At 33.9% G+C, this 14,522-nt stretch overlaps 1 protein-coding gene across 29 annotated transcripts in view; it reads right to left on the bottom strand.

Annotated features, from left to right (window-relative positions):
- Nucleotides 1-5,004: 5,004 nt before the first annotated feature.
- ZNF254 (zinc finger protein 254) overlaps nt 5,005-14,522 on the bottom strand; it is a 96,520-nt gene continuing 87,002 nt past the window's right edge. For 28 of the 29 annotated variants that reach the window (XM_047439750.1, XM_047439742.1, XM_047439743.1 and 25 more), the window contains one exon: nt 5,005-8,719. In XM_047439750.1, the coding sequence (XP_047295706.1) occupies nt 6,993-8,719 (1,727 nt within the window). In that variant the 3' untranslated portion in view covers nt 5,005-6,992. Of the gene's footprint in view, nt 8,720-9,856; nt 9,950-14,522 lie in introns of those variants that run through there. The other variant, XM_047439756.1, reaches the window with a different exon arrangement.

Genomic DNA, 14,522 nt, shown 5'->3' with positions numbered 1-14,522 from the left:
TAAACCATACCTTGGAAAAAAATGGACTTAACAGATATATACAAAACATTTCATTCAACAACTGCAGAACACACATTCTCCTCAACAGCACATGGAACTTTCTCCAAGACAGATCATATGATAGGTCATAATACGAGCCTCAAAACATTTAAGAAAACTGAAACTATATCAAGCACTCTCTCAGACCACAGTGGAATAAAACTGGACATCAACTCCCAAAGAAAACTTCAAAGCCACGCAAATATATGGAAATTAAATAAGCTGCTCCTGAATAACCATTGGGGCAAAAACCAAATCAATATGAAAATTAAAAAATTCTTCAAACAGAATGACAATAATGACACAACCTATCAAAACCTCTGGCATACAGCTAAGGTGGTGCTAACAGGAAAGTTCATAGCCCTAAATGCCTACATCAAAAAGTCTGAAAGAGTACAAACAGAAAATCTAAGGACACACCACAAGAAACTAGAGAAACAAGAACAAACCAAACCCAAACCCAGCAAAAAAAGAAAATAACCAAGATCAGAGCAGAACTAACTGAAACAAAAAAAATACAAAAGGTAAATGAAACAAAAAGCTGCTTCTTTGAAAATATAAATAAAATTTATAGACCATTAGCAAGATTAACCAAGAAAAGAGAGAAAATCCAAATAACCTCACTGAGAAATGAAACAGGAAATATTATAACTGACACCACTGAAATACAAAAAAATCATTCAAGGCTACTATGAACACCTTTACACACATAAACTAGAAAACCTAGAAGAGAAGAATAAATTCCTGTAAAAATACAACCCTCCTAGCTTAAATCAGGAAGAATTAGATACCCTGAACAGACCAATAACAAGCAGTGAGATTAAAATGGTAATTCAAAAAATTACCAATAAAATGTCCAGGACCAGACGGATTCACAGAATTCTACCAGACATTCAAAGAACTGGTACCAATCTTTTTGACACTATTCCACCAGATAGAGAAAGAAGGAGCCCTCCCTAATTCATTCTATGAAGCCAGCATCACCCTAGTATCAAAATCAGGAAAAGACACAACTAAGAAAGAAAACTGCAGGCAAATATCCTTGACAAACATTGATGCTAAAATCCTTAAAAAAAATACTAGCTAACTGAATCCAACAACATGTCAAAAAGATAATCCACTATGATAAAGTGGGTTTCATACCAGGGATGCAGGGATGGTTTGACACACAAGTCAACAAATGTGATACACCACATAAATAGAATTGAAAACAAAAATCACATGATCATCTCAATAGACGCAGAAAAAGCATTTGACAAAATCCAGCATCCCTTTGAAAGTAAAACTCTCAGCTTGGCCGGGCACATGGTGGCTCATGCCTGTAATCCCAGCACTTTGGGAGGCTAAGTCAGGCAGATCACCTGAGGTCAGGAGTTCAAGACCAGTCTGACCAATATGATGAAACCTCATCTCTACTAAAAGTACAAAAATTAGCCAGGCATGGTGACATGTGCCTGTAATCTCAGCTACTTGGGAGGCTAACACAGGAGAATCGTTTGAACCCGGGAGGCGGAGGTTGTGGTGAGCCAAGATCCTGCCATTGCACTCCAGCCTGGGCAACAAGAGCAAAACTCTGTTAAAAAAAAAAAAAAAAAAAAAAAAAAAAAAAAAAAAAACAACTCTCAGCAAAGTTGGCATACAAGGAACAGCTTAATTTAATAAAAGCTGTCTACAACAAACCCATAGCCAACATAATACTGAATGAGGAAAAGTTGAAAGCATTCTCTCTGAGAATGGGAAAAAGACTAGGATGCCCACTCTCACCACTCCTCTCCAAAATATTCCTGGACGTCCTCCAGAGCTATCAGAACAGAGAAAGAAATAAAGGGCATCCAAGTCAGTAAACAAGAAGTCAAACTGTCCCTGTTTGCTGATGATATGATAATTTACCTTGAAAACCCTACGGACTCCTCCAGAAGGCTCCTACAACCAATCAAAGAATTCAGCAGTTTCTGGATACAAGATTAATGTACACAAATCAGTAGCTCTTTTATTCACCAACAGCAACCAAATGGAGAATTAAATCAAGAACTCCCCTTTTACAATAGCTGGAAAAAAACAAAAAAAAGTTAGGAATACACCTAATGAAGGAGTCAAAAGACCTCTAAAAGGAAAACTACCAAACACTACTGAAAGAAATCATAGATGACACAAACAAATGGAAACACATCCCATGCTCAAGGATGGGTAGAATCAATATTTTGAAAATGACCCTACTGCCAAAAGCAATCTACAAATTCAGCACAATTCCCATCAAAATACTACCATCATTCTTCACAGAGTTAGAAAAAAAAAATTCTAAAAACCATATGGAACCAAAAAAGAGCCCACAGAGCCAAAGAAAGACTAAGCAAAAAGAACAAGTCTGGAGGCACCACACTACCTGATTTCAAACTATACTATAAAACCATAGTCACCAAAACAGCGTGGTACTGGTATAAAAATAGACACATAGACCAATGGCAGAGAACCCAGAAATAAACTGAAATAATTACAGCCAAGTGATCTTCAAAAAAGTAAACAAAAACATAAAGTGGGGAAAAGACACCCTTTTCAACAATTGGTGCTGGGATGGTAGCCACATGTAGGAGAATAAAACCAGATCCTTATCTCTCACCTTATAAAAAAAATCAACTCAAGATGGATTAAGGACTTAAACCTAAGACCTGAAACTCTAAAAATTCTGGAAGATAACAATGGAAAAACCCTTCCAGGCACTGGCTAGGCAAAAATTTCATGACCAAAAACCCAAAAGCAAATGCAGTATAAACAAAGATAAATAGCTGGGACCTAATTAAAGAGCTTTTGCATGGCAAGAGGAACAGTAAGCAGAGTAAACAGACAACTCACAGAGTGGGAGGAAATCTTCACAATCTATACATCTGATAAAGGACTAATATCCAGAATCTACAAGGAACTCAAACAAATCAGTAAGAAAAAAAAAAACATCAAAAACTGTGCTAAGGACATGAATAGACAATTTTCTAAAGAAGATATACAAATGGACAACAAACATAAGAAAAAATGCTCAACATCCCTAATGATCGGGGAAATGAAAATCAAAACCACAATGCAATACCACCTTATTCTTGCAAGAATGGTCATAATCAAAAGATCAAAAAACTGTAGATGTTGGCATGGATGTGGTGATTAGGGAACACTTTGTAAAAAGTAAAGTAGAGGTTCCTCTTCAAAGATTCCCCCCCCCCATCTAATTAGGAATAAATTGTAACTTTTCTTAGAGACAAAATTTATTCAAAGACCTGTGCTCCTAAATATTTGCCCTGGCATGCTTATACTGGTCCAAGCAAGCATTAGGTCATAGCCTGCTCCTCTTCCTTATTTAAAAGTGGTTTTACCTTTCTCAGCATCCCACAAGTTACTTACTCCTTTCTTTGTTCTCCTTTACCTTTGCCTCTTTTAAAAAGTTCTAAGATGCTAGCCAATTGGGATAAATACAGAATGTGAGGTCCCATTCTAGCCAATGGAAACCGGACACAGCAGTAGGGTGGATGCGTCAGGTTATAAATGACCCTGTCTCCTTTATTCATTGTACTCTCGTGGCAAAACTGCTGACGAGTGTATACTTTCTGCAGGAAGTAAAAATGGCCTTACTAAATAAGTTAAATTTATGTTCAAGTGCTATTTCTTTATGGCACTGAGGAACAAACATTTCAAACAACTTCTACACTGCTGGTGGGAATGTAAACTAGTACAGCTGCTATGAAAAACAGTGTGGATATTCCTTAAAGAACTAAAAGTAGAACTACCATTTGATCCAGCAATCCCACTACTGGGTATCTATCCAAGAAAAACTAGTAATTATTTGAAAAAGATACTTGCACATACATGTTTCTAGCAGCACAATTCACAACTAAAAAATCATAGAACCAAGTGAAATGCCCATCAATCAACGAGTGGATACACACACACACACACACACACACACACACACACACACACACAGGAATACTACTCAGCCACAAAAAGGAATGAATTAACAGCATTTGCAATGACCTGGATGAGACTGGAGACTGTTATTCTAAGTGAAGTAACTCAGGAATGGAAAACCAAACATCATATGTTCTCACTGATATGTGGGAAATACGCTATGAGGACACAAAAGCACAAGAATTATACAATGAACTTTGGGGACTTGAGGGGAAGAGTGGGAGTGGGGAGGGATAAAAGACAACTTATATGGTGAAGTGTATCCTGCTTGGATGATGGGTGCACCAGGATCTCACGGATCACCACTTAAGAACTTACTCATCTAACCAAACACCATGTGTACCCCAATAGCTTATGGAACAATAAAATTAAAAAAAAATATTCTTATAATTACAGACCAGCTCACATAATGAATACTTCAAAGACTATTACACAGGCTGGGCGTGGTGGCTCACGCCTGTAATCCCAGCACTTTCAGAGGCCAAGGTGGGTGGATCACCTAAGGTCAGTTGAAGACCAGCCTGACCAACATGGTGAAACCTCATCTCTACTAAAAATACAAAAATTAGCTGGGTATGGTGGTGGGCACCTGTAGTCCCAGCAACTTGGGAGGCTGAGGCAGGAGAATTGCTTGAACCTAAAAGGCAGAGGTTACAGTGAGCCAAGATCACACTATTGAACTTCAGCCTGGGTGACAGAGCAGGACTCCGTCTCAAAAATAAATAAATAAACAAACAATTAACAAACAAAGAAAGTTATGAGTCTAGCATGAGTATCAGTCAAGTTAAAACACAGAATTTGCATGCGGAGATTCTGAATCATAAGCACAAAGACTGTACAGTAATAAATTCAATACAAAGCAAATAGCATAGATTTGGTTTCAGCATTTTTGAAAATTTTTGTTTTCTAGTAAATTAGACACCTTATTAAAATAATTTATTTTGTTCGAGTATTTCTTTTTGCTGCTAAAAATAGTTTCAAACTTATACTCACACAAACATACTTACTCCATAATTTATTTACACCTAAGGTTTATCTTTAATAGAAGTATATATTTAATTTTATGTAAATCAATTCTAAGAGTCCATATGTGCTTGCAGGCAAAGGTCACATATTCAAAGAAAAATATATTAAAATTTTTAAAAATATTTATTCAGAACTCAGAAATGTATAGATTTTACACGTTTGTATAAAATTTTTTATTATGACCATAAAAATGACCCTGTAATCAATAACATTGTAAATTTAAAAATAACTAAAAGTGTACAATTGAATTGCTTGTAATAAAAAGAATAAATGCTAGAGGTAATGGATATCTCATTTCCTCTAATGTGATTATTATATAGAGTATGCCTGCATCAAAATATACCATATATGGCATACATATATACACATATTATGTATCCACAAAAATTAAGAAAAATAAATTTAAATGTGAAAATAAGAATAAAAATTTAACCCATAGGAACAATATTCTTTAACTTATTGGCAATTTAAAGCCACTGGCAAAAAAGATTGCTAGAGATGTCAGTACATTATCTTACCAAATAGTGTATTGTTACCATCTTTTACCTACATCCTTGAGTAAGGGAATAGGTTAAAGTTAGTGGCATAAGAACACTTCATTGAATTCACAATAGTATTTAATATGTTAAAAATGTTGAATTGAAAAGCTAAGTTCACACATAATTTATAATTTAAAAATAGACTGCATATTATTTCATAGAAGTACAATTAATAAAATAACATATGACTAACTTAATTTTAACTAAAATTAAGAATGCTTTTCATTCATAATAATGCAGAGGAATATTATTCTGAACACCTACCTCATGCATCACTCAATATTATAAGTTAACCACAAAGAGCCTCTCTACCTAAATTTTCCTCACGCATCTTACATTTTAATGTCCTTATCTTTTCATAGAAAAGGTCATAAATAATGCCTAATAAAAAAGAATCTCATATCTTTTATGCAGCAACAATTAGTCACATGCTTTCACATATGAATACACCAGCAATGATGAAACAGCATGAATTTAAGAGTTGAACACATTATTCACTTTTAAAAAAAATCTGTATTTTCAAAAAAAAGTACTTTGAATGTAATTATAACCCTCCAAAAAATATTCTATTTTTAAAGTTATATACAAATGTTTAGACAAATCTGTTTGTATTATTTTCTATACTCAGCACTCTGATTTAGTGTAATGTCTAAAGCTTGAATGCCCTAGATATTTCTACTGTGAATTATTCCCTGATATTTACATAGACTTAATTTTGGATTGAATATCTTTCATATTTAATGTATCTGCAAAAATATATTTTAGTATGAACACTTTGGTGTTTTATAATTTGTAGTTTTTGAAAAAATGTTTTTCCAAATTCATTATACTTGCAGGGTTTTCTTAAACTCCCTGATGTTCAACAAAATTTTAACAACTGCCTGAGGGTTTTTCTCTAGTATAAAATGTGTACAATAAGATCTGTGGTACAAGTAAAGATATTACAATCCTCTTCATATGTGTAATGTTTTTTTCAAAATAAATGCTCTTCTATACTTTAAAGACATACTTTCTGACAGATCTTCTGAGAGTAATTAGAATTTTAATGCTTTTATTTACTATGAACTCTACAATTTTGAGTAAGATGTGAGCAGGTGTTAATGGATTTTTTACTTTGCCAATATTTGTACATTTCTTCTCAAGTATAAATGCTTTCCTGTGCAATAGGGTGTGAGCATTGTCGAAGCTTGGCCACGTTGTTCACACTGGTAGTTTTCTCCAGTATGAATTATCTTACCTACAATCAAGTGTGACAATCATTTAAAGGCTTTTTCACATTCTTCACATTTCTAGGATTTTTCAGCAGAATGATTTTCTTTAAAGTTTTAGGTACTGTCAAAAGCATTAGCGCCTCTCTCAGGTTTGTAGTTTCTCTCCAGTAGGAATAATCTTATATCTATTAAGAATTGAGGGTTTTCTTAGGCTTTGGCACATTATTCATACTTGTAAGATTTCTCTCCAATGAGTTATCTTATCTGTGGTGAGGTGCGAGGACCGATTAAAGGCTTTGCCAAATTTTTCCCATTTGTAGGGTTGCTCTCCAGTATGAATTCTCTTATGTTTAGTTAGGGTTGAGGACCAGAAAAATGCTTTGCCACATTCTTCACATTTGTAGGGTTTTACTCCAGTATGAATTACCTTATGTTTAGTAAAAGTTGAAGACCGGTTAAAAGATTTGCCACATTCTTCACATTTATAGGGTTTCTCTCCAGTATGAATTCTCTTATGGTTAGTAAGGATTGAAGACTGCTTAAAGGCTTTGCCACATTTTTCACATTTGTAGGGTTTCTCTTCAGTATGAATTATCTTATGTTTAGTAAGAGTTGAGGACCAGTTAAAGGCTTTGCCACATTCTTCACATTTGTAGGGTTTCTCTCCAGTATGAATTATCTTATGTGTAGTAAGGGTTGAGGATTGGCTAAAAGATTTGCCACATTCTTCACATTTGTAGGGTTTCTCTCCAGTGTGCATCCTCTTATGTCTAGTTAGGGTTGAGGACCATATAAATGCCTTGCCACATTCTTCACATTTGTAGGGTTTCTCTCTAGTATGAATTCTCTTATGTTTAGTAAGGGTTGAGGACCAGATAAATGCTTTGCCACATTCTTCACACTTGTAAGGTTTCTCTCCAGTATGAATTATCTTATGTGTAGTAAGATTTGAAGATCGATTAAAACCTTTGCCGCATTCTTCACATTTGTAGAGTTTCTCTCCAACATGAATTATTTTATGTGTAGTAAGAGTTGAGAGTTGCTTAAAAGCTTTGCCACATTCTAAGCATTTGTAGCGTTTCTCTCCAGTATGAATTATCTTATGTGTAGTAAGGGTTGAGGACTGGCTAAAAGCTTTGCCACATTCTTCACATTTGTAGGGTTTCTCTCCAGTGTGCATCCTCTTATGTCTAGTTAGTGTTGAGGACCATATAAATGCTTTGCCACATTCTTCACACTTGTAGGGTTTCTTTCTAGTATGAATTTTCTTATGCTCAGTAAGGGTTGAGGACCAGATAAATGCTTTGCCACATTCTTCACACTTGTAAGGTTTCTCTCCAGTATGAATTATCTTATGTGTAGTAAGATTTGAGGATCGATTAAAAGCTTCACCACATTCTTCACATTTGTAGAGTTTCTCTCCAGCATGAATTATTTCATGTGTAGTAAGGGTTGAGAGTTGCTTAGGAGATTTGTTATATTCTTCACATTTGTAAGGTTTCTCTTCAGTATAAATTTTCCTATGATTAGTAAGGGTTGAGGACCAATTAAAGGTTTTTCCACATTCTTTACATTTGTAGGACTTCTCTCTATGATAAATGCTTTTGTGTTGGGTTTTATGTGAAAGCATGCAAAATAATTTGACACGTTTTTTACATTTGAAAGATTTCTTTTCAGTATGTCTTATCTTAGGTCTGTTTGAATTTAAAAATTTATAGAAGACTTTCAAATATTTATCACATTGAAATACTTTGCTCTGGGCAGTTGTGAAACACTGGTTAAGTCCATTATAACCTTCTTTGTTCACCTTATACTCATCCACACTTTTACAGCCTTTTCTTAACTGTAAATTCTCATGTCCATATTTTCCATATCTTCTCAGTATTGCTTTTTGAAAAGAATCTTCCATGCCCTGCTCTGGCCAAAGGTCTTGAGCAAAATGAGGACACATACCTGAAAAAAAAATAAAAATAAATAAATTACTCCACTTACTAGACTCACATGAATATAGTTTAAAAATCTTACCTATAAAATTATACAAACTACATAGACAAGATAGCATTGCAAAATACCACAGGCTCTAATTCTTTCATAGACATAAATGTAACAAAAACATTCAGACCAAAATACATCTGTGGAAAATTCATAAATGATTTAAGTGTGTGCAGTGTCCCAGGTGAGCACAATGCAAAAAAACACAAAGAAGAAAAAGAAAAGTCTGTTAAATTTACTCAATACATCTTTTCCTGTTTCCCACTATACCATAGTGTCTTTACAAGTAAATTGCCAACTCTTGGTTTCTGTTTTAAAAGAAAGGTAAAATACCGGCACAATCATTGCCATTTCTGGCTTTTAGGGTTTTTTCCTGACACTGGTTTCTGTCTCTCATGACATAAAGTACTGAAAGAAATGGTGGTATATTTTGGAATGAGAGTTTGAGTCTGCTGAGACCAAAGAAAAATGTTACAGCAGCAGAGAGACTGCAGTACCACAGAAATGGAAAAGGTGTAGCAAGTGATGACGCTACAAATTAACGAGTAATCTCTCCTAATTAAATAATAAAAATAAAATTTCAGACAACACATATCCTAAGAATATGTTTAAGAAACTCTCATAATCACCAGCAAAGACAATTGTTTTCAGAATATGCCATGACAAAGCTACATTATAAGATTTTGACAAGTAGCTTTTTTTAATGTCTAAATCTTAATCAAGGATTATAATATATACAAAATAGGGCAATACAATCCCACCAAAAATATCACAAAATTTTCTGAAAGAAATCATAAAAAAGATGTATACATTAATTTTAATAATTGGTAATAAACTGAATAATACTGATTAAAATGGGAACAGAAACAACTATGGAAAATCAGAAAAATGAGGACAAGAATAAAAAATAGTTAAGATATCAAAAAACAAATTGTGGAGATAAAATATACACAAAAAAACTGACAGATCCTAAAAGTAAAAAAAAAAAAAAAGATGTAAAAATAAAAAAGCTCAACAAACAAACTAGAATAACAAAAAGATATTTATAACAAACACATACATAAGCACAATTTCAAAAGTCACAGACAAAAAGATTACCTTTGAAGCTGCCAGATAAAACTGATGTGCCAGGTCAGGCACAGTGGCTCACACCTGTAATCCAGGCACTTTGGGAGGCCAAGGTGGGCCGATCACCTGAGGTCAGGAGTTCAAGACCAACCTGACCAACATGGCAAAACCCCGTCTCTACTAAAACTATAAAAATTAGCCAGGCATGGTGGTGCATGCCTGTAATCCCAGCTACTCAGGAGGCTGAGGCTGAACCCAGGAAGGGGAACCACTTGAACCCAGGAAGTGGAGCTTGCAGTGAGCTCAGGTCACACCACTACACTCAAGCCTGGCTGGAGGATACAGTGAGACTCTTGTTTCCAAAAAAAAAAAAGAAAAAGAAAAAAAGTGATGTGCCATTTACAAACATAATCTTATGAGATAGTCAGTGAACTGTTAACAAAAATTTTGCAGGCCATAAGGGAACTGTGTGATGTAGTCATGACAAAAATTGTGGAAAAAAAAAAGGTTTAATTAATTGAGAATAATACCATCAGCAAATCTGTCCTGCCAAATAAAAAAAGTAAAAACCTTCCAAAGTAACCAAATTCTAAAAAAGTATATTGGAAATGCATATGCCCTACATATAAAAGGTGCTGAAAAGAGTTCCTTCTACTGAAAATAACATGATTCCAATAAAAACACAGAATCATATAAAAATACATGATTTTCTGGGAAAAATATGCAAATACACAAAAGTCAAATTTCTTAGCATTACCCTAGTGGTGCAGAAAACATTTTTAATTATTCTCTGAAATTTGAAGGATAAAAGCATAGAAAACATTTTAAATATTCATTAATGAATATACAATATAAAAAGATATAATTAACAACATCAATGACAAATTTGAGGGAAGGTATAATAAGAACAAATTTTTGTACGCAACTTAAGTTTATTTACCAGATTAAAATATGTTGTTGTATCTTTTAGAGGTTATATGTAATCCCCAATGTACCACAAAAATATTTGTATAAATACACAAAACAAAATAAGTCAAAGCCTATCAATACAAATATCAAAAAGACACAAAGAAAGATGGAAAGAGAATAAAAGACAAAGATGCAAGAATCAAATAAAATACTTAATAAAATAACAGTAAGTCTTTCTATTTCAGAAAATTATTTCAATATATATAAAATTAACTTTTAAATTGAGACATATTTTCAATAAATAGTTTTATTAAAATATTTTAAAAACTGAGATTCATCTTGCCTTTCTACAAGAGTCAGTTGAAATCTAATGATAAAAAAAGACTGGAAGAGGCAGGAAGAAAGTAGACATTCCATGCAAATATTAATCAAATGAGAGCAGAAACAGTCAAAATAATCTTACACAAGCTACATCTTAAGTCAAAAATTATAATATTTTATAAAATGTACTTTAAATTTAAACTCCAAAGAAACAAAGGACATCAAAAAATAATAGATTCATTCACTGGGAACCTATGAAAAATTTGTGTATATTTGTGTGTGTGTGTGTATGTGTTTGTGCACGCACGCAGGTGTGTGTGTGTGTGTCTCACATTAGGGTTCCAAATATATAAAGCAAATATTGACAGAATGGAAGAAACACATACAAAGCAATACAATTATAGCAAGATATTTTAATACCACACTTTCTGTAATAAAAATAAAACAAGAAAGAATGTTAATAAGGGAACAGACTACTTAAAGGCAGTATAAAACAATTATTCCAAACAGAGTTATGGAGAACACTCCTCGACAACATCAGAATACACCTCTTTCTCAATAGCTCATACATTTTACTTGATAAACCACATCTTAAGCCAAAAAGGAAGTCTTACCAAACTTTTTAAAAGTAAACTTCTATGAACTACTTTCTATGAGTAAAATGGAGTACGAGTATAAAACAATAAGACAGAAAAACTGAAAAATTTACAAATACATAGAAATTAAACAACACACCCTTGAGTGTGCTTTTAAACAAAGGTTGAAATAATTAATATTCTGAAAAGGTCCATCCAGCTCAATGCAACAGACAGACTTAATGAATGTTTTTCAAATTTCTCACTGCATTTTTGAAGAAACAGGAACAGCAACCCCAAAAGTATATAGAATCTCAAGAGACAATAAAGTACCCAACAATCTTCAAAAAATAAAAGGAACAATGCTGGAGGCATTAAAGTTCTTGATTAAATCACACTACAAAGCTACAGAATTAAAACAATTTGGTATGAGTATAAAGGTGAAAAAGTAGACTAATAAAATAGAATGCAGCACATATATAAACTTTCACATACATGGTCATATAAGGAGTCATTTACATAGTGATAATTATTGCAGCATTGTTACTGTAAGCCAATAGGTAAAAGCAAGGCAGATTTCTTTCACCAAATCATTCAGTAGATATAATTTGAAATATAAAAATTCTGAAATATCACTCAGTCTTCAAAAAGCAGGAAATATTGTACGAACTATAAAGATAAATGTTGATGGCATTATGTAAAATGAAATGAGCCAGCCACAAAACGACAGATTGTATGAAATATATGAAGGAGTTACACTCTTAGAAACAAAGAACAGACTGGCGTTTGCAAAGTGCCATAAAACAGAAAAAATTGGGGCCAGGCATGGTGGTTCACACCTGTAATCTGAGCACTTTGAGAGACCCAAGCGGGTGGATCACCTAAGGTCAGGAGTTTAAAACCAGCCTGGCCAAGATGGTGAAACCCCATCTCTAATAAAAATACAAAAATTAGCCAGGCATGATGGCGGTCACCTGTAATCTGAGCTACTAAGGAGGCTGAGGCATGAGAATCAATTGAACCTAGGAGGTGGAGGTTGCACTGAGCTGAGATGGTGCCACTGCACTTCAGCCTGGGTGACAGAGCAAGACTCCACCTCAAAAAAGAAAAAAAACAAGAAAAAAGTGGTAGTCAGTATGTATTAAGATTTAGCTTTGCAAGATAAAAACATTCTAGCAATATGTTGCATGACAATGTCAAGATAATTAGTGTGACTTAACTGAATATTTAAAAATATTTTGTGGTAAATTTGTTATTTTTTTGACAAGTAAAAATAATAATACCCAAAAGAGATACAGAGTTATGGGAGTTTTAAATTATATTCAAATCCAAAAGTGTTTCTCCCACACAAAAATCATATAGATTCATAAATAGGATGTTGAAATTACAAGAATTTTATAACTACTCATCTACAAAGGATTAGAAAACCATTCACAACAAACCTATACAACAAATATACAAAAAACAAACAAAAAAAAACCAAGGGTAGCCTGGTGTGGTGGCTCACACCTGTAATCCCAGCACTTTGGGAGGCTGAAGAGGGTGGATCATGAGGTCAGGAGTTCAAGACCAGCCCGGCCAACATGGTAAACTCTGTCTCTACTAAAAATACAATAATTATCCAGGCTTGGTAGTGGGCGCCTGTAATCCCAGCTAATTGGGAGGCTGAGGCAGGAAAATCACTTGAACCTGGAAGGCGGAGGTTGCAGTGAGCCAAGATCGTGCCACTGCACTCCAGCCTGGTCAAGAAGAGCAAAACTCTGTCTCAAAAAAAAAATTTAAAAAAGATAACATTTATACAGGCAAACAAACAGATATAATTCTACTGGAAAAAGACATATGGCTGATTCATATTTGATTTTGCTCCACAGGGTCTTAAATTGTACAAAGTTAAATATTGTCATGCACAATTATGATATATACTAAAAAATCAAAACACAAATATCAGATGTATGGTGGCATATGCTAGAATATATAACACAAAAATATAAAATTGCAAAACAAAATTAAAACATGGAATGTAAAACTTATTAGACACCATCAAGTAGATCAATATATTCATTAAGGTAATCTTAGAAGAAGAATATGGGGAAAAAAAAACAATACAGTGGTTACTTGAAGATAAAAGGTGAGAATTTCCCAAATTTTGATGTAGTAAAACAAACAAACAAAAATTGTAACCAAGAATATTTGATTTAAATTTATTTCCCTTTAAAAATAGGATGAAAACTAAAAATCTCCAAAATAAAAGTTGAGGGAGTTCATCACCACTAGCACAGTTCTACAAAAAAATGCTACATGATGGCCAGGCACTGTGGCTCATGCCTGTAATCCTGCAGTTTTAAGAGGCCAAAGCTGTCACAACACTAAAGACCAGGAGATTCAGATCAGCCTGAATAATACAGCGAGAGTTTGCATATAAAAAAAAGAAACGGGAGGTCAGGAGATTGAGACCATCCTGGTTAACATGGAGAAACCCCGTCTCTATTAAAAATACACAAAAAAAACAAAATTAGCCAGGCATGGTGGCAGCCGCGTATAGTTCCAGGTACTCAGGAGGCTGAGGCAGGAAAATGGCGTGAACCCGGGAGGCAGAGCTTGCAGGGAGCTGAGATTGTCCCGCTGCACTCCAGCCTGGGTGACAGAGCAAGACTCCATCTCAACAACAACAACAACAACAACAACAAAGAAATGCTAAAATGAGTCAATTTTATTTAAAAATAAAATAATACTGGACAGCATCATAAAACCATATATAAAAATAAAGCTCTCTATTGAATGTAAATATACAAATGTAGAAATCTTTACTATCATAATGATGATGCATAAAACCCTTAAAGCTCTTCTGTAGAATATTTAAAACAATAAAAATCTGCATAAATGTTAATACA

This window comes from Homo sapiens, chromosome 19 (assembly GCF_000001405.40).
Source record: "Homo sapiens chromosome 19, GRCh38.p14 Primary Assembly".
Classification (NCBI taxonomy): domain Eukaryota; kingdom Metazoa; phylum Chordata; class Mammalia; order Primates; family Hominidae; genus Homo; species Homo sapiens.
This window is presented reverse-complemented; position numbering and strand designations above follow the sequence as displayed.